We start from the raw sequence: 18,893 nt of genomic DNA on the forward strand, positions 1-18,893 counted from the left end.
TGAATTTAGCACATCAAGGATCTTATGTATTAAAACAAACTACAGCAATCTCCAACTTTACAGTGGTTTGACTTACGATTTTATAACTCGATGGGGTGAAAGTGATATGCATTTAGTACATTCTTAACTTACTACGGGATTACATACAGAAACCCATCATAAATTAAAAATATCATAAATCAGGCTGGGCGCAGTGGCTCACTACCTGTAATCCCAGCACTTTGGGAGGCCAAGGCGGGCTATCACCTGAGGTCAGGAGTTGGTCAGGAAACAAGCCGGGCCAACATGTCGAAACCCCGTCTCTACTAAAAATAGAAAAATTAGCTGGGTGTGGTGGTATGTGCCTGTAGTCCCAGCTACTTGGGAGGCTGAGGCAGGGGAATTGCTTGAACCCAGGAGGCAGAGGTTGTAGCGAGCTGAGATCGTGCCACTGCACTCCAGCCTGGGTGACAGAGCGAGACTCCGCCTCAAAAAAAAAAAAATCATAAATCAAAAACATACAACTTAGGATGGATATATCAGGATGTAGCCCCATTGTAAGTCAAGGAGCATCTGTATATCCAGCAGGTAAGTTTTTTTAATCAGTGGGAAGCACACTCCAGAGAACAGCCACTAGCTGTATAGAGCTTGGCAGAGGTAAAGCCGTAACTGCTGGTTGAGAGTGTTGTCTGAATTTGACAAGCCACACTCATCGGACTCAAATAAAATTAAGAAATAGTTTTTGGAGATGAGGTCTTCAGGATAATTCTATCTGGATTAGGTACAGCTACTGGTCAGTCAGATTAGGATTCATCAGCCCATAAAAGGAGAAAATGAGGTTGGTTGAGGTGGCTCACTCCTATAATCCCAATACTTTGAGAGGCCACGGTGGGATGATCTTCAAGGCCAGGAGTTCTAGACCAGCCTGGGCAACAGAGCAAGACCCTATCTCTACCAAAAAAAAAAAGCCAGGCATGGTGGTGCACACCCTGTAGTCTCAGCTACTTGGAAAGCTGAGGTGGGAGGATCTTTTGAGCCCAGGAGTTCAAGGCTGCAGTGAGCTATGATTGATGCACCACACTCTAACTTGGGCTACAGAGGGAGACCTTGTCTCCAAAATGAAAAGAAGTATGGCTGCAGGCTACATTCAAACTAAGATCACAACGAAGTGTTGAGTATGTATAAATGTATGTGGATATGTTTGTGTCTAAGTGTATTTCCACTAGCATGCTAAGGTATGTTTGTGTGTGAGTATGTTTCCTCCAGTATGCTAAGTTTTGACACATGCAGGCATCTAACTTGGGTGTTATCTGTCCTTCCTTTGCCCAAAGCATAGATTATAATTGTTCATTCTCAAAAATGCAACTCTTATCTATTTCCCCTTTATTTGAAGGCAGCTGATGGTTACTCTGCAAGGTGTAAGTTTCTCTTTTAAAAACTAAGCGGTCGAGCATGGTGGCTCATGCTTGCAGTCCCAGCACGTGGGAGTCTGAGGCGGAAGAGTTGCTTGAGCCCAAGAGTTCAAGACCAGCCTAGGCAACAAAGTGAGACCCCATCTCACTTTGGAACTCAGGACTGCAGTAAGCCATGATCATACCACTGCACTTAATCCTGGGTGACAGAGTGAGACCTTGTCTCTTAAAAAAAAAAAAAAAGAGAGCATGTATATAGATGTTTTAAGGCCAAAGGCTGTGGAAGCCAGGAAGGAAATAGTAGATATGATCTATCACAATTCGGGGTGATAATTAGTTGCACAGTAGAGGACAAGTTTTGTTGGGGTGATGATTGCAAAGGTATTTGTATCCTGACTTGTTCTAAAAAATGTTTGTGGCAGTCTAGAGAACGCTGATATGAGCTGAGCTTCTTTATAAACTTACTGGCTGGCCATCATCTTTATTGACTTAGATTTTATTTAATAGAAGTAATAATGAGGCCAGGTGCCATGGCTCACGCCTATAATCCCAACACTTTGGGAGGCTGAAGCAGGTGGATCACCTGAGGTCAGGAGTTCAAGATCAGCCTGGGCAACATGGTGAAACCCCGTCTCTACTAAAAAACAAAAATTAGCTGGGTGTGGTGGGGCATGCCTGTAATTCCAGCTACTCGAGAGGCCAAGGCACGAGAATCACTTGAACCCAGGAGGTGGAGGTTGCAGTGAACTGAGATCACGCCATTGCACTCCAGCCTAGGTGAGCCTGGGTGACAGAGTGAGACTACATCTCAAAAAAAAAAAAAAAAAAGAAGTAATAATGAGTATAAAATAAAATAGAACTTTTCTGGTATTATTGAGTGAATCGGTATAGAGAATTACATAAAGCACTAGTTAGGCTTAAGTTTTAATTGTATCTACAACCAGTCCCCATCTACCGTTCCCCCAACACAATTACCCCAGAAATCAAACTCCCTAAGACAGCAACCAATATTTTGGCATTCAATACTCAGTAAACATTTGAAAAGAATGAACATATGGTTATATGATACTTTGGGGGTAACCTAACTGGAAAGAAAAATTATAGATAAGCAGGTGAAACTGATATTAATATGAGTATTCAAATATTCTATTTATTTGATCATTTTCTTTCAGCTAAAAAATTGCCAAAGAATGAACCACAAAATCCAGGAGCAAATTCTGCCAGAGGAAGAGGAGTAGACCTTACCGAACCCACACAACCAACCAGGAATCAGTGTTGTAGTAACTAAACCTCTAGTTTGAACTAGCTGGAATAGTCTTCTGCTTCCTAAATGTTAATAACAATGGAATTGGAGCATTTAACCAGCCCAGTATGACTTCCAAAAGAAGAGACTTATGATAGAGTCAAGTTTCTAATACAGAATTATTTTAAGTGTTTTGAACTTAATTTTTAATAACATGCATGGGTCCCTCTCACTAATGTTTCAACAATAGGGAAAAATGAGAACTATGTGGACACTTGTTTCATTGGAAGGTTAGGGGGAATAATTTCTCATCACTAGGAATATAGACAAATGACTGTCTGGGCCCACACAGTTAACCAGCCCATTTCTCCACACTGGTACAGTAGTCACCTGTGAAAAAAAAATTGGAACTTACTAATTTGGGCTTTTCAAAAACATTCTTTGTTTAGAAGGAGATTCTAAAGTTATTTATGATGCTTAGCCATAGTATTCAGGCAAATGTTCATTTCTCCTGGTACCTGTATTTAAAATGTACATTCCACATTTTAATAAATTAACCACAAGAAAATAATCCCACATATACAAGGTCAGGGGTGGGGAAGAGTATTAATGGTATCTTAATTATACCCAGTCTGGTTTTTTTTTTTTAAATGGGGTAAAAATCAAATGCAACCCCATCTTGTTTTAGGAATTTTGAGAACTAATAAATGCACCTTAATGGTCAGTGTTCCTTTCAAACATGTGAGTTCTTTAACAAAAATGAAATAAACCAGGTGTCTGTGATTTCTAATTAATCACCGCTGGCCATTACACAGGTTTTGTTGTTTGGGGTGGGGAGGGGGCTTTTGTTCCCTTTTGACATAATATAGTCAATGCACTAACAATTATGTATATTCAAACTTGATTATTTTAAATTCGATCTTCAGCTGTACTGTAAATAGGGTACTGCATTGTAGTCTCCATATCTGTATTACTTTTCTGTAATATTTAAGAGTTGCTTAAAAGCATACAAAATGTACTGTTACTAAAACAGCTAATTATTTCTCTCTCCCCCTTTGACAGGAAGGGGCTTCAGTTGTTCCTCCATGGCTAGAACCATAATAAACAATGTACCCGTAATTTGTAACATAAAGTATTGCAATATGTTAGTAACAATCTTGCAGCCTTCCTTTCCAAAGTTCATTTTATTTTGATCAGTTCAGTATATTGCACTAATTATTTTAGGTATTTTCATTATATGAAAGCTACCATGTGTCAGAGATGATTTAATCTATTTAAGTGTTGGACTGCTAGGAGAACTTGTACATTTATGATAATGCAGAATTAGGAAAACGGTTCACCAGTGTTTAGTTTTATATTGAGGTGCTCAGGTTGGAATAAAGTGGTATAAAAAGCAAGTATCGGCTTTTCTCTTTTCCTTTTTTTTGGCATAAAACAGTGAATATATATAAATGATACTATATGACCTAGTATCCGCTTTTATATTTTCTTTACTATGTTCATAAAATTATTTGCATGGTATTGATGAATCATCCTAATAGCTGGATCATTGAAGAATCACTTTATATTTTGGTGCTCTGGATAATTGGAACTTTATTTTTTTATGTCAGAAGCTGATATTCACTTCCATTGAGAAATATTACCATAACTGTAATGTTGTCTCTGGAGCCAGCCAGTAAAGCAGCATTTACAAGTTCATGGCTAACATACTCAGCTGCGCCTTCATAGAAACTCTTAGTGTCTGATTCTTTTTCATTTGTTGCCACATCATTTACACTAGTTGGTCTGTCAGTTACTTTTTCACTGCAAGGTTTACGATGAGTCGTTTCTGCTGGAAATGTTTCTACATTCTCAGGGTTATAAATACAGTATTTAGAATAGTTTGAATCGGATAAATTTTCTTTGGAATTTGTAGTTGACACACGTACTTCAGATACAGATTTATACTGAAACAATACGTGGATATTACTCTGTGATTTAGTAAGGTTTGGTTCACTGGTTGAAAAAAGCAGAGGCCCTTTGGATGGTGATTTGTTAGGTATGATAGGACAGTATGTTTCTTTATACATGTGAAATGTTGTCATTGCCAGGGCAGTAACTTCCTCTTTATCCAAAACTTCCCAAAGTCCATTAGTAGCTACAATAAGGAATTGACATAGGTCATCTATAGGGACAGAAATAGTTTGAGGTGCTGGGATAATGGATTTTTTCAGCTTGAGATTTCCATGAAATCCAAGTCCTCGTGTAGTTTTTACTTGCCCCTCTACAAGCCCGTATGGTTCATTTGAACTAATGACTGCTCCATTCTGAAGTATTCTTCTTCTTTCATTTGTGTTTCGTGTAGTATGTTCTTTGGTTAGGCAAAAACCTTTCCCATTTCTGCATAAGACTGCTTGCACATTACCTAAAAGATTATTTTTTAAAAGAAGAAATTTTTATCCTAGAGATAACCAATTGTATCAAAATCTACTGCTAACTTTAGTAAATTCTGTGTTTCAATGCTAAACAGAAAGCAGGCTATGTAAAAGTACGTTTAAATATGTGTAATATATCACTACTGAATGATTTACAGTAAATACAGATTTCAAACAGGTCAATTTATCCCTCATTGTTAAGCAGCTTTTAGTGTTTAAAACTATTACATTTAGTATTAACATTACAGATAATGCAAAGTAACTTCTAAATTTTGAAATGAAATGACTTAATATTACTCACATTGCAGAGTCATGAGTTGAACTTTTTTATAGCCAACATATATTCCATCTAGGAGATTTTTAAATGTTTTTAAGATAAATGCTTTTTCAATTTAAAACACAAACTTTGATTTTTTAAAAAGAATGACAGTTGTGTAACCAGTACAAGTTAAAACTTGAATATACTTAGGTCATGGGTGATGAAAAAATTAGAATGTCACTATTAATGTTAGTCTTAACTAGGTTGCTATAATGTGTAGATTCTAAAATTTAAGTCAATCCGCCAGGTGTGGTGGCTCAAGCCTTTAATCCCAGCACTTTGGGAGGCCGAGGTGGGCGGATCACCTGAGGTCAGGCGTTCGAGACCAGCCTGACCAACATGGAGAAACCCCATCTCTACTAAAAATACAAAAAATTAGCCGGACGTGGTGGCCATGTTCCTGTAATCTCAGCTACTTGGGAGGCTGAGGCAGGAGAATTGCTTGAACCCGGGAGGTGGAGGTTGTGGTGAGCTGAGATGATGCCATTGCACTCCAGCCTGGGCAACAAGAGCAAAAATCTGCCTCAAAAAAAAAAAAAAAAATCATTCCTGTGGAGAAATATGTTGTTAATGTATTACATGAATAATAGGCAGCCAACATTAAACCCTTTGGTTGGAAACTGAAATCTTAAAAGTTGATTGTAGTTTGTCCGTGGTTCAAATGAATCTGTGATGGTGTGCTTCATTGAAATCTTACAGTTTAAACATGATCTGAACAGATTGCAGGGTGGTTATATATTACTGTAACTTTTTTTGGTGTATTTTTTAAGAACCACTGAATTTTTTTAGTTTGTTAGGAAAAATTGATTTTCCCCAAGTTTTTAGGAATATAATTACGTATTTTTTAAATTACATATAATTACATATTGTTTTTCTTGATATTAAATCATTTATGATTTATAGAAAGTTATTAAACTTCTGAGATGGGGTTAATGATATTTGAATATTATAACATCTTTGAGATTTAAAATTCCTGGAATAGGAAGCCAAATTTACATAGAATATTCTGGTTTTAAATATGATATTGTACCTGGGATCATTTAGTTGCTTGCAGGAGGAGTTCAATTCTAGGCCCACAGTTTTTTACGTATTTAGGCTTAGAAGGTTGAGGTCCAAGGCCAGGTATGGTGGCTTACACCTGTAATCGCCACTCTTTGGGAGGCTGAGGCAGGCAAATCACTTGAAGCCAGAAGTTTGAGACCAGCTGGGGCAATATGGCAAAGCCCCATCTCTACTAAAAACACAAAAAAATTAGTCGGGCGTTGTTGCGGGAAGTCAGGGACCCTGAACAGAGGGACTGGCTGAAGCCATGGCAGAAGAACATAAATTGTGAAGATTTAATGGACATTTATTAGTTCCCCAAGTTAATACTTCTATAATTTCTTACGCATGTCTTTACTGCAATCTCTGAACATAAATTGTGAAGATTTCATGGACATTTATCACTTCCCCAGTCAGTACTCATAATTTCTTATGTCTGTCTTTAATCTCTTAATCCTGTCATCTTCGTAAGCTGGGGTTGTATGTCGCTTCAGGACCCTGTGATGATTGCGTTAACTGCACAAATTGTTCATAAACCATGTGTGTTTAAACAATATGAAATCTGGACACCTTGAAAAAAGAGCAGGATAACAGCGATGTTCAGGGAACAAGGGAGATAACCATCAGGTATCACTGCCTGAGAGCTAGGCGGAACAGAGCCATATTTCTCTTCTTACAAAAGCAAATAGGAGAAATACCGCTCAATTCTTTTTCTCAGCAAGGAACAGCCCTGAGAAAGAGAATGCATTCCTAGGGGGAGGTCTCTGAAATGGCCTCTCTGGGAATGTCTCTTGTACGGTTGCACATAAGGGATGAAATAAGCCCCAGTCTCCTGTAGCACCCCCAGGCCTTTTAGGATGAGGAAATTCCCGCCTAGTAAATTTTAGACCTGTTGTCTGCTCTCAAACCCTGTCTCCTGATAAGATGTTATCAATGACAATGCATGCCCAAAACTTCATTAGCAATTTTAATTTCACCCAGGTCCTGTGATCTCGTTCTGCCCCCATTTGCCTTGTGATATTTTATTGCCTTGTGAAGCATGTGATCTCTGTGACCCACACCTTATTCGTACACTCCCTCCCGTTTGAAAATCACTAATAAAAACTTGCTGGTTTTGTGGCTTGAGGGGGCATCACGGAACCTGCTGACGTGTGATGTCTCCCCCGGACACCCAGCTTTAAAATTTCTGTCTTTACTGTACTCTTTCCCTTTATTTCTGAGACCGACGGACACTTAGGGAAATAGGAAAGAACCTACATGAAATATTGGGGGTGGTTCCCCCGATAGGGCATGGTGGCACATGCACACCTGTAATCCCAGTTACTTGGGAGGCTGAGGCACAAGAACTGCCTCTACACAGGAGGTGGAGGTTGCAGTAATACGAAGTCACGCCACTACACTCCAGCCTGGGTGACAAAGCAAGACTCTCTCAAAAAAAAACAAAAAAGGTTGAGGTCCATGCAACTAGTATAGTGGTATAATTGGAAAGCCTAAATTGGTGGCCAGTGTGGTGGCTCATGCCTGTAATTGCAGCACTCTGGGAGGCTGAGGCAGGAGGATCACTTGAGGCCAGGAGTTTGAGACCAGCCTGGCCAACATGGCGAAACTCTGTCTCTACTAAATACAAAAATTAGCCGGGCGTGATGGTGCACACCTGTAATCCCAGCTACTCAGGAGGCTGAGGCACAAGAATTGTTTGAACCCGGGAGGCAGAGGTTGCAGTGAGTCGAGATCGCATCACTGCACTTCAGTCTGCGCGACAGAGTGAGACTCAAAAAAAGCCTAAATTGGTAAAGCATTAGTGTCAGATATAGACAGAAACTGTTGTCTCATTTATATAATAGGAATTTTTAATAGCTGAGCTACTGGATTGGGACTAAAAGATGGTGTTTGTGAAAAACATTTTGGAAACTACATACATAGTTCTAAAGGCTATATGGCCCCTCATTTCTTTATAGTTTGGTTATTAATATTGTGTGTTAACTTGTCTTACTGTTGATTATTCGACTTAGATTTTGCAGAACATAAGTCAGTAAAATCTTGACTTTTGCTGGATTATAAATTATTACTGAATCAGCAAGACAACATGAAGTGGCACTTAATGTGACAACTGAGTAAATGGAATTGTTAGTACATATGGTTCAGTACCTCTTAAATGAGAAAAATTTTTACGTGTGTGCATACATACGAATTGTACGGCCATAGCTCTGAAAACGAAAGGGACATAGTTTGGCTCACAATAGTCAAATCTATTGACTTTGTAAATGTTCATTTGCATGTGGCAAGTCAAAGGCCATTTAGCAAAAAGAAAAAGCATTATTTTCCTAGTATGTGATTTGAAAAGAATTTAATAGAAATATGTACTTACAATGGAAGGATGGTAAACAGGTTATTTTTATTTTAGTTACCTCTGCAGAGAGCTTGACAAGTGTAGCGTTATGCACTATTTGCCTTTTTTTTTTCCTGTGCTACAGAGTAGGACATACCATGTTGGCCCATTTTATTACTTGTGAACATCCTTTGGATTCAGCACAATAAAATATTCTAGGAGAAAGGACATTAAATCCTGGTTGCAGTTCTTCCTCTACCTGTTAAAAAGGGAGATAATGCGAGACAGGGTTTCACTCTGTCACCCAGGCTGGAGTGCAGTGGCATGATCACGGCTTACTGCAGCCTTGACCTCCCTGGGCTCAGGTGATCCTCCCACCTCAGCCTCCCGAGAGCTGGGACTAAAGGCATGTTCCACCACACCTGGCTAATTTCTGCATTTTTTTGTAGAGACAGGCTTTCGCTATGTTGCCCGGGCTGGTCTCAAACTCCTGGGCTCAATCGATCCTCCCAAAATGCTTGGTTTCCCAAAATGCTGGGATTACAAGTGCCAGTCACTGCACCCAGCAGCACATTGTTTACCTGTATGAATGGTGCATGAAGGAAAGAAAAAGTGAAGGAGAAGTAGCCAGCGTTTCTTAACTATTTGTGTATCTAACCCAGGAAGCAGAGGGTGAGATTCATCAGGAAGACTACTAATGGAACGAACTAAAAAACTAGATGTGCAGAGTCAATAGTTTCATTTTGTAACAATGAGTGGCATATGCTGTCAGCTACAAACAGGGTGTTTGAAGTCAAGTGCTATATTAAACTGAAAGCTTGAACAGAATAATGAACAAAAGGTTTCCATGAAGATGGGAAATTAGAGGAAGATTTTTTTTTTTTTTTTTGCGGAGTCTTGCTCTGTTGCCCAGGCTGGAGTGCAGTGGCGCGATCTCGGCTCACTGCAAGTAGAGGAAGATTATTAAATATCACTGTTATGTCCACATAGTCTGGAGAAGTGGAGAGGAACCAGCCTTCAATAGTTTAAGAGAAAGGACAATTTGACTTTTGAAAAAGTTTATTGGTAACACCTGTTTGGAGGAAATGCGAACAGCTAACCAAGCAATGAACTGTGTTGAAGACCACTACACAATTTTAATCTAAGCATAAATGAATTCCTAGACAAAGGTAACAGCTTTCAGTATTTGGAGAGATTGCGCTCTTCAGAAAATGTTATCAGAACAAAAATGGAACAGGATTACTGGAAGAGCAACGTGTTTAGGAACAATAATCTTGGGGATTAAAAAGAGCCGCTTGGAGATGATGCTCAAGCCTTTTTAAAGTGGCATAGTCAGGTACAGTGTTTCTTATGCAGAGGGTAATGATGTGGCTGCCTCCTGCAATTACTGGGTTATCACCAACTTTTGTGAAAAGGAAAAGTCCAGTAAACTTACAGAGTGAACTCTGGAATCCCAACCAGGGACTTCTAGAGCTGAGTAGGCAATATCAACATTTTTCTCAGATAAAGCCAGAAAGGTGACTTAGTGTTGATTAAAACAAGAGAGTTTAAAGAAAGAATGAGAGAAGAGGAAAAGAAACTTTATGTGGTGGTCAGAAAAAGACATACCTATATACGTGATGGGTGAAGCAGGAAAAATAAAAACACACCTAGGATGCACAACGTTGCCAGGGGTAATAAGGACAGTTTGGTGTAGAAAAACAGTATGGGGAGTGGAAGGATTTAGGAGCCTGACAGTCAGACTTTAACCCCAAACTTTTGTCTATGTGGCCTTCATTAGGTCACTTTATTTCACTAAGTAACAGGTTTTCACCTGCAGTGTTGTCAAAGTTATTGTGAGACTCAATAAGCTAATTTAAGAGGTAGACACTTGGAACACTTATTTAGTGTTCCAAGAAGAGAAAAGCAGGTAGAGAGGCTATTCAAAAGAAATTGAGGGGAAATGAAAAATGTTTCATTTCAGACCCATTTATAAAAGAATTATAAGAAAATGCGAAGTAGAATTACAGGCTTAAGATAGTAGGCAGTGGTAACTTGGAACTTAGGGAAAATTGAAATAGTTACTGGGGAAAGGAAAAATTACAATTGTAAAGGAGCATAGGTAAATTAGGATTGCATGTAAATAAGGTTAGGGGAAACAGTCTGTATCCAGTTTTTCTTCAGTGCTGTAGTTTCAGCAAAAGAGGCTGAATTTGTTTAATTTTATGCATGGACAGGAGCTTTGTGACTTCCTAAGAATGGTTAGCATAAGAGTCTTATTCATGTTGAACTAGCTTTCATTGGATGTTCAAAATGTCCTTTTGTTTTATAGATGTGTGATCATGAAATTCATGTCCATTGTTCATTGCTCACCATTGTACCCCTAAAGCCTAACTATATTACGCACAAGTCTCAACTATGTGTGAAATATTTGTTGAATGTGTTCTCAGAATCAGGTTTGTAAGCATGTGAGAGTTCCTCAGCACCACCATCAAAAAAAACGGAGAAGGGGAAGGGAAGGTATATAAAATGTCAGTGTTAAGAATTTGGCTTTTTTCCTGCACAAAATTGAAGGAGATTCTGGAGTTGAATTAGACTTTAGGGGAAAACGGTAGGGATGGGGATAATTTTAAAAGCAACTTATTAAACTAGTCCAAATGAACACATTTTCACACCCATGGAAACAATCACATCTAGAGAAGAAAGACAACTTAGGTCTGCAAATACCGCATTAGTGATGAATGAAGACAGAAAGGTCCACATAAAAATGAAGATATCCTAAAAACAGGAGAAAGCTAGTACTGTTCATTTGAAGTAACCAGACTTCAAGCCTGAAAGACTGGAGTCCTGGCTCACTCACTGGTTATATAACCTTGTATAATGCTTTGATGAGCTTTAGTCTTCTGATATATTAAAAATGTGATTATCCTTTCCTCACAGATTTTGAAGATTAGATGAAAGGAGTGACGTGGCAATCTTGAGAAGGGAAGGGGGCTTCAGGTGGCCACCAATTTAAAAATTGTGATAGCCAGCTGTGGTGGCGCAGGCTGAAGGCCTAGCTACTTGGGAGGCTGAGGCAGGAGGACCGCTTGAGGCTAGGGGTTCCAGGCTGCAGTATCCTCTGAGTGAGCCTAAGAATAACCACTGCACTCCTGGCTACATAGCAAAACCTCATCTCAAAAGAAAAAGAAAAAGAGTAATAGAGAAATAGTGGGTAAAGTTGTGAAATGGTGGGTAAAGTTGTGCCTGGTCTCTGAATCTACTGTGAGCTTATGAGACAGAAAGCTAGGACACTAGAAATAAAAGTAGTTTACAGGGCCTCATTAAAAAGAATTATTAACAAATGTACAATCTAGACATAAAGATATTGGAATAACAGATACACTAAAGCACTCAAAAAGGAGCAGTAATGGGGCAGTCTGGATCTTAGATTGACCCTTCCACTGAGAACAAGTAAATATCCTGGATAATATAGCAGAAAGTGCAAAATACTCAAGACGAATAATGACTAAATTCAGGTATACCAAGAGCAGAAACCAGCTTTTACCTGAGACCATGTATTGAGCCGAATCCACGTTAAATTTTCACAAGGTGGCCAGGTGCAGTGGCTCATACCTATAATCCCAGCACTTTGGGAGGCCAAAGCAGGTGGATCACTTAAGGTCAGGAGTTTGAGACCAGCCTGGCCAACATGGTGAAACCCCGTCTTTACATAAAACAAAATTAGCTGGGCATGGTGGCACATGCCAGTAATCTTAGCTCCTTGGGAGGCTGAGGCAGGAGAATCGCTTGGACCCTGAATCCGGGAGGTGGAGGTTGCAGTGAGCCAAGATCGAGCCACTCTACTCCAGTGTGGATAACAGAGCAAGACTGTTTGTTTGTTTGTTTGTTTGTTTTGAGACGGAGTCTCGCTCTGTCGCCCAGGCTGGAGTGCAGTAGTGCGATCTCAGCTCACTGCAACCTCTACCTCCCAGGTTCAAGCAATTCTCTGCCTCAGCCTCCCAAGTAGCTGGGATTACAGGTGCCCACCCCCGGCTAATTTTTGTATTTTTTAGTAGAGATTGGGTTTCACCATGTTGGCCAGGCTGGTCTTGAACTCCTGACCTTGTGATCCACCCACCTCGGCCTCCCAAAGTTCTGGGATTACAGGAGTGAGCCACTGCACCAGGCCCAATTCTGTCTTAAAAAAAAAAAAATCACAGGTTTATGAAACAGGAGACAAAACCTAGGGATTGTCCAAGATGGGGAAGACTAAATGGCTCACCACAACAAAGCTAGGACCCCAGAGGATGATGGCCTCACTGAAACAGTGAACCAAAAATAAACCTATGCCTGTTGCCACCACACAGACTACAGAAAAAATGACTATTTCAAATTAGGCCAAAGAGAGAAAGAGGGAAGAAAGGAAGCTACAAAGAACTTGGAACTGGCTTGACATTGTAGCTCACATCTGTAATCCTGTGAGGAAAGGATAATCACATGTTTAATACATTAGAAGATTAAAGCTCATCAAAGCATCAGAGCACTTTGGGAGGCCAAATGGGAGGATCACTTGAGTCCAAGAGTTCGAGACCAGCCTGGGCAATATAACAACACCCCATCTCTGCAAAACAAAGAATGTGAAACCACCAACCTTCATGTATTTGTAGTCTGAAAGCCTCAAATGGATCACTTAGTACATATTGATAGTGTCAACAGGCAGACACCAGGCAGGAGCAAATGCAGTACTCTGGATGACACATCTCTCAAATAATTCCCCTAAACATATATTATATGGAATTTCTTATCTTTCTGGTCAAGATACAATAACAGTGACTGGATTTACACTTTCATCTGTTTTGAAGAGACAGAGCCAAGAGTCCAGGGAAACCAATGCAGCTAGAGCTTGCTGAGGACAGAATACCAGAGAGAAAAGAGAGGCACAGAGTATTCCAGATATCTTTCGAGGGTCTTTCTCAAGTGAGTCTTTCTCAAGTGTTTAGATGGGTACTGGTGAATACATGTGTGTGAGGAAACTCCACAACACTGGGAAAAGAAACATTTGAAAAGGATTAGAGGGAGCATTGCTGAGGACTCATAGGGCTGGAGAATAATTCCTGTTCCAACCAGCCAGACTGAAAAGATATTAATTCGTGAATCATTAGGTAGCATGCTTAGGAATGTTTTGCCTCAGTAGTAGAGAATAATTGGACCAAACTCAACACTGCCCTGGACTTGCCTAATAAATTACAAAAACAGGATCTAAAAGGATCAAACTATTTCCAAGTAATTTCATCCCAAAACAAAGCTGAAAACCATATATCCAAAAACACAAATTTACTCCTAACACCCACAACCTGTCAATGTGTTCTTATTGGCAAAAAAAAAAGTTTTTGCGGTTGTAGTTAAGGATTTCAAAATGATACCATTCTGGATTATCCAGGCGGGCCCAAATTCCAATGAGAAATGTCTTTGTAAGAGATACACAGAGTAGAGACACATGGGTGGAACAGTAAAATGCCATGTGAAAGTCAAGGCAGAGACTGGAATTATACAGCTGTGGGTGAGGGAATGCCTGGAGCCACCATAAGCTGGAAGACCCAAGGAAGGATTTCTACCCTAGAAGAGGCATGGCCCTGTGAACACCTTGACTTCAGGCATCTGGCCTCCTGAAGCATGAGAGAATAAATGTTTGCTGTTTTAAGCCACCAAGTTCGTGGTAACTTGTTACAGCAGCCTTAGGAAACTAGTACACCAGGCATGCCAATAAGAAGGAAAATAACACCCACGATAAGTGAAAAGTCAATCAATTGAAACCAACTCCAAAATGGCACAGATGTTGCAATTAGCAGGCATGGATATAAGTTATTATAACTGTATGCCATTTGTTCAAAAGTTAGAGACATATATGATTTTTTAAAAGTAGTATCTTTTCATACCACAATGGAATAGAACTAGTAATCAATAGCAAGAGGAACATTGGAAATTGTACAAATACATGGAAATTAAACAACATGCTCCTCAACAATCATAGGGTCAGTGAAGAAATTATAAAGGAAATCAAAAACTTCTTGAAACAAATGAAAATCAAAATATAACATACCAAAACCTATGGGATGCAGCAAAAGTGATACTAATAGGGAAATTTATAGTAATAAACTCCAAATAAACAACGTAACAATGCACTGCAAGAAACTAGGAAATCCAGGACAAACTAAACTCAAAATTAATAGAAGCAAAAAAAATAAAGATCAGAGCAGAATTAACCAAGGTAGACACTAAAAAATACACATAGGAGCAATAAAACAAAAGGTTGTTTTTATGAAAAGATTTTAAAAGTCAATAAACCATTAGCTAGCCTAAACAAGAAAAAAGAGAGAAAATCCCAAAAAAATCAGAAATGAAAAAGGAGACATTACAACAGATGCCACTAAAAAACAAAAGATCATTAGAGACTATTTGAACAACTATACCCTAACAAATTAGAAAACCTAGAGGAAATGGATAAACACGTGGACACTTACAACCCTACCAAGATTGGACTAGGAGGAAATAGAAAACCTGAACAGACAAATAACAAGTAGCAGGATTGAGTCAGTAATAAAAAGTCCCCCAAATGAAAAGCCCGGGACCAGATGGCTTCACTGCTGAATTCTACCAAACTTATAAAAAAGAATTAACACCAATTCTTCTCAAACTTTCAGAAAATTGAAGAGGAAGGAATTCTTTTTAACTCATTCCATGAGCCCAGCATTACCTGGATACCAAAATCAGAAAACACACAACAACAAAGAAGAAAACTATAGGCCAATATCCCTGATGAATGTAGATGTGAAAATCCTCAACAAAATACTAGCAAGCTGAATCAAACAACATATTTTTTTTTTTAAAAAAAGCACCATGATCAAGTGGGATTTATTCCAGGGATGCAAGGATGGTTCACACAGAAATCAATAAATGTGAAGCTTTGTGCAGAGGCAGTATCATAGCCAGTGAGGTTTAGCCACGTTGTGATTATTGCTAATTGAAAACTTTTCCCCATAGCTCACCGTGACGACTTGTAATACAGCAAGCATTAAAAATAAAATAAATATGACACATTACCAACAGAATGAAGGAGAAATACCATATGATAACCTCAATAGATGGCCAAAAATTTTTTTGATAAATTTAACATCTCTTCATGATAAAACTTCTCAACAAATTAGGCATAGAAGAAACATATCTCAACAGAAGAAAGGCCCTGCTATGGTATGTATTTTTGTTTACCCCAAACATCATGTTGAAATTTTATCAACAATGCTGGAGATGGGTTCTGATAGATGTTTGAGTCATGGGGAGCAGATCCCACTACTGAGTATGATAAATAGCCCACCGTGACGACTTGTAATACAGCAAGCATTAAAAATAAAATAAATATGACACATTACCAACAGAATGAAGGAGAAATACCATATGATTATCTCAATAAATGCCCCCCAAATTTTTCTGATAAAATTCAACATCTCTTCATGATAAAAATTCTCAACAAATTAGGCATAGAAGAAACATGTCTCAACATAATAAAGGCCCTGCTATGGTATGTATTTTTGTTCCCCCCAAACATCATGTTGAAATTTTATCAACAATGTTGGAGATGGGTTCTGATAGATGTTTGAGTCATGGGGAGCAGATCCCACTACTGAGTATGTAGCCAATGGATATCAAGGAGATACCTGCACCCCCACGTTTTATGCAGCACTATTCACAATAGTAAAGATACAGGGTCAACTTAATGTCCATCAGTAGATGAATGGGTAAAGAAAATGTAGTATAAGTACACAACGGAATACTATGAAGCCATGAAAAAGAAGGAAATTCTGTCATTTGTAGCAACATGGATGGAACTGAGGGCATTATGTTAAGTGAAATAAGCCAGACCAGAAAGACAAACATTACATGTTCTCTCTCATATGTGGGTCCTAAAAATTGTTGATCTCAATGAGGTAAAGCAGAATGATGGTTACCAAAGATTGGGAAAGGTTGGGGACGGGGCAGGACGAGATAAAGTAAGGTTGGTTAATAAGTACAAACAGTCCAGGCACAGTGGCTCACCCCTGTAATCCCAGCACTTTTGGGAGGCTGAGATGAGCAGATCACAAGGTCAGGAGTTCGAGACCAGGCTGACCAACATGTTGAAACTCTGTCTCTACTAAAAATACAAAAATAGGCTGGGCACGGTGGCTCACGTCTGTAATACTAGCACTTTGGGAGGCAGAGGAGGGTGGGTCACCTGAGGCCAGGAGTTTGGGACCAGCCTGACCAGCATGGTGAAACCCTGTCTCTACTAAAAATACAAAAATTGTCCAGCCGTGGTGGCATGCACCTGTTATCCCAGCTACTCAGAAGGCTGAGGCAGGAGAATGGCTTAAACCCGGGAGGCGGAGATTGCAGTGAGCCAAGATCGCGCCACTGCACTCCAGCCTAGGCAACAGAGTGAGACTCCGTCTCAAAAAAAAAAAAAGGTGCAAACATACAGTTAGAGACAAGGAATAAGTTCTAGTGTTTGATAGCACATTAGGGTGACTATAGTTAACAATAATTCACTGTATATCTTAAAATAGCTAGAAGAGTTGAAGTGTTCCCAACACAAAGAAATAATACACATTTCAGGTGATGAATATCTTAAATACTCTGATTTGATCATTACATATTATATGCATATATCAAAATGCCACAGGTACCCCATGAATATTTATAATTATTATGTATCAATAAAATAGATAAACATTTTTAAAAAGAATGTGAGTTTGGCAGTACCTTTTTCTACATGCACAAATTCAACCTGTATTCAATGGCTTCATCATTGAACTAATATGTCATTATAAGGTAATAATTTTTTTTAAATTCTAGAGTCATGATGACATTGATATATTATGAATTTTAAACAGGGAAACCTAATTCCCTTGCTATAATTAATCCTGTTCTATAAAATACAAAATAATTCTTGAAAAATTTGTGTAAAATTATTTTCTTATGGCTGAAAGTCATTTAAAGTTCTTTCTTACAGAAGTACTTTTGTAGCTAAATCATGACCTCAGGTTCTCTCTTTTACAATTTGAATTTTTTTCACCCATGTGTCTTTCTATGAAAATGCAACATGCCTAGATGCAAACAGTTTAACACCATTGTATAGGCCTGGAAATTAAATCCAACTGTTTGACCTGGAGATTAGAACCAACCAATCAGCAGTGTGTCTAGACTTTTTTTTTTTTTTTTTGAGACAGAGTCCTGCTCTGTTACCAGGCTGGAGTGCAGTGGCATGATCTCAGCTCACTGCAACCTCCGCCTCCTGGGTTCACACCATTCTCCTGCCACAGCCTCCTGAGTAGCTGGGATTACAGGCATGCACCACCACTCCCAGCTAATTTTTGTATTTTTAGGAAAGACAGGGTTTCACCAGGTTGGCCAGGATGGTCTCGATCTCCTGACCTCGTGATCCACCCGCCTTGGCCTCCCAAAATGCTGGTTACAGGCGTCAGCCACCGCGCCCAGCCATTTTTTTATTTTTTATTTTTTTGGAGACGGAGTCTCTCTTTGTTGCCCAGTCTGGAGTGCAGTGGTGTGATCTCAGCTCACTGCAACCTCCGCCTCTCAGGCTCAAGCGATTCTCCTGCCTCAGCCTCCTGAGTAGCTGGGATTACAGGCACCTGCCACGCCTGGCTAATTTTTTTTTTTTTTTGTATTTTTAGTAAAGACGGGGTTTCACTATGTTGGCCAGGCTGGTCTCAAACTCCTGACCTGAGGTGATCCACCCACCTCGGCCTCCCAAAGTGCTGGAATTACAGGCGTGAGCCACCACCCACAGCTGTGTCTAGACATTTAATGACAGTATCCACTTATTGAATATGTCATAATTTGTCATATTAATTTTACAAAGACTTTTATAATTAATGATATCTTCCATAGGGGTCCCAATTCCAAGAATATGGGTCAGTTCACAGATTGGCCTTAAATCTGTAATGATTATGTCTATGAAGTATTTGGAACCTCAGCATAGAGCCTGAGAAACGACAAAGACTGTGAGGCAGTGGACATGCACTTAGCTTTCTTGGTATTGTTTAGTCTGGAGCCCTTGACATTTCAGGCTCAGAACCAGGTTGGATCAGAAACAGGCTGACTTTCTGGCACCTTGACATTTGTTGTAGTATTCTTTGTG

At 39.3% G+C, this 18,893-nt stretch overlaps 2 protein-coding genes and 1 pseudogene across 5 annotated transcripts in view; 2 read left to right on the plus strand and 1 right to left on the minus strand.

The window, feature by feature from the left end:
- RAB5A (RAB5A, member RAS oncogene family) overlaps nt 1-4,031 on the plus strand; it is a 38,079-nt gene extending 34,048 nt beyond the window's left edge. For all 3 annotated transcript variants that reach the window (NM_004162.5, NM_001292048.2, XM_047448648.1), the window contains exon 6: nt 2,564-4,031. In NM_004162.5, the coding sequence (NP_004153.2) occupies nt 2,564-2,679 (116 nt within the window). In that variant the 3' untranslated portion in view covers nt 2,680-4,031. The remainder of the gene's footprint in view (nt 1-2,563) is intronic.
- Nucleotides 1-18,893, minus strand: part of PP2D1 (protein phosphatase 2C like domain containing 1) — a 32,304-nt gene that overhangs the window by 1,184 nt on the left and 12,227 nt on the right. The window contains exon 3 of one of the 2 annotated variants that reach the window (NR_027694.2): nt 3,050-3,152. Coding sequence is in view for 1 of the 2 variants with exons in the window: in NM_001252657.2 (NP_001239586.1) it covers nt 4,236-5,038 (803 nt within the window). In the remaining variant the exon portion in view is untranslated. Of the gene's footprint in view, nt 1-3,049; nt 3,153-4,201; nt 5,039-18,893 lie in introns of those variants that run through there. The other variant, NM_001252657.2, reaches the window with a different exon arrangement.
- Nucleotides 15,659-15,781, plus strand: RNU4-85P (RNA, U4 small nuclear 85, pseudogene; annotated as a pseudogene).

Source organism: Homo sapiens, chromosome 3 (genome assembly GCF_000001405.40).
Source record: "Homo sapiens chromosome 3, GRCh38.p14 Primary Assembly".
Lineage (NCBI taxonomy): Eukaryota > Metazoa > Chordata > Mammalia > Primates > Hominidae > Homo > Homo sapiens.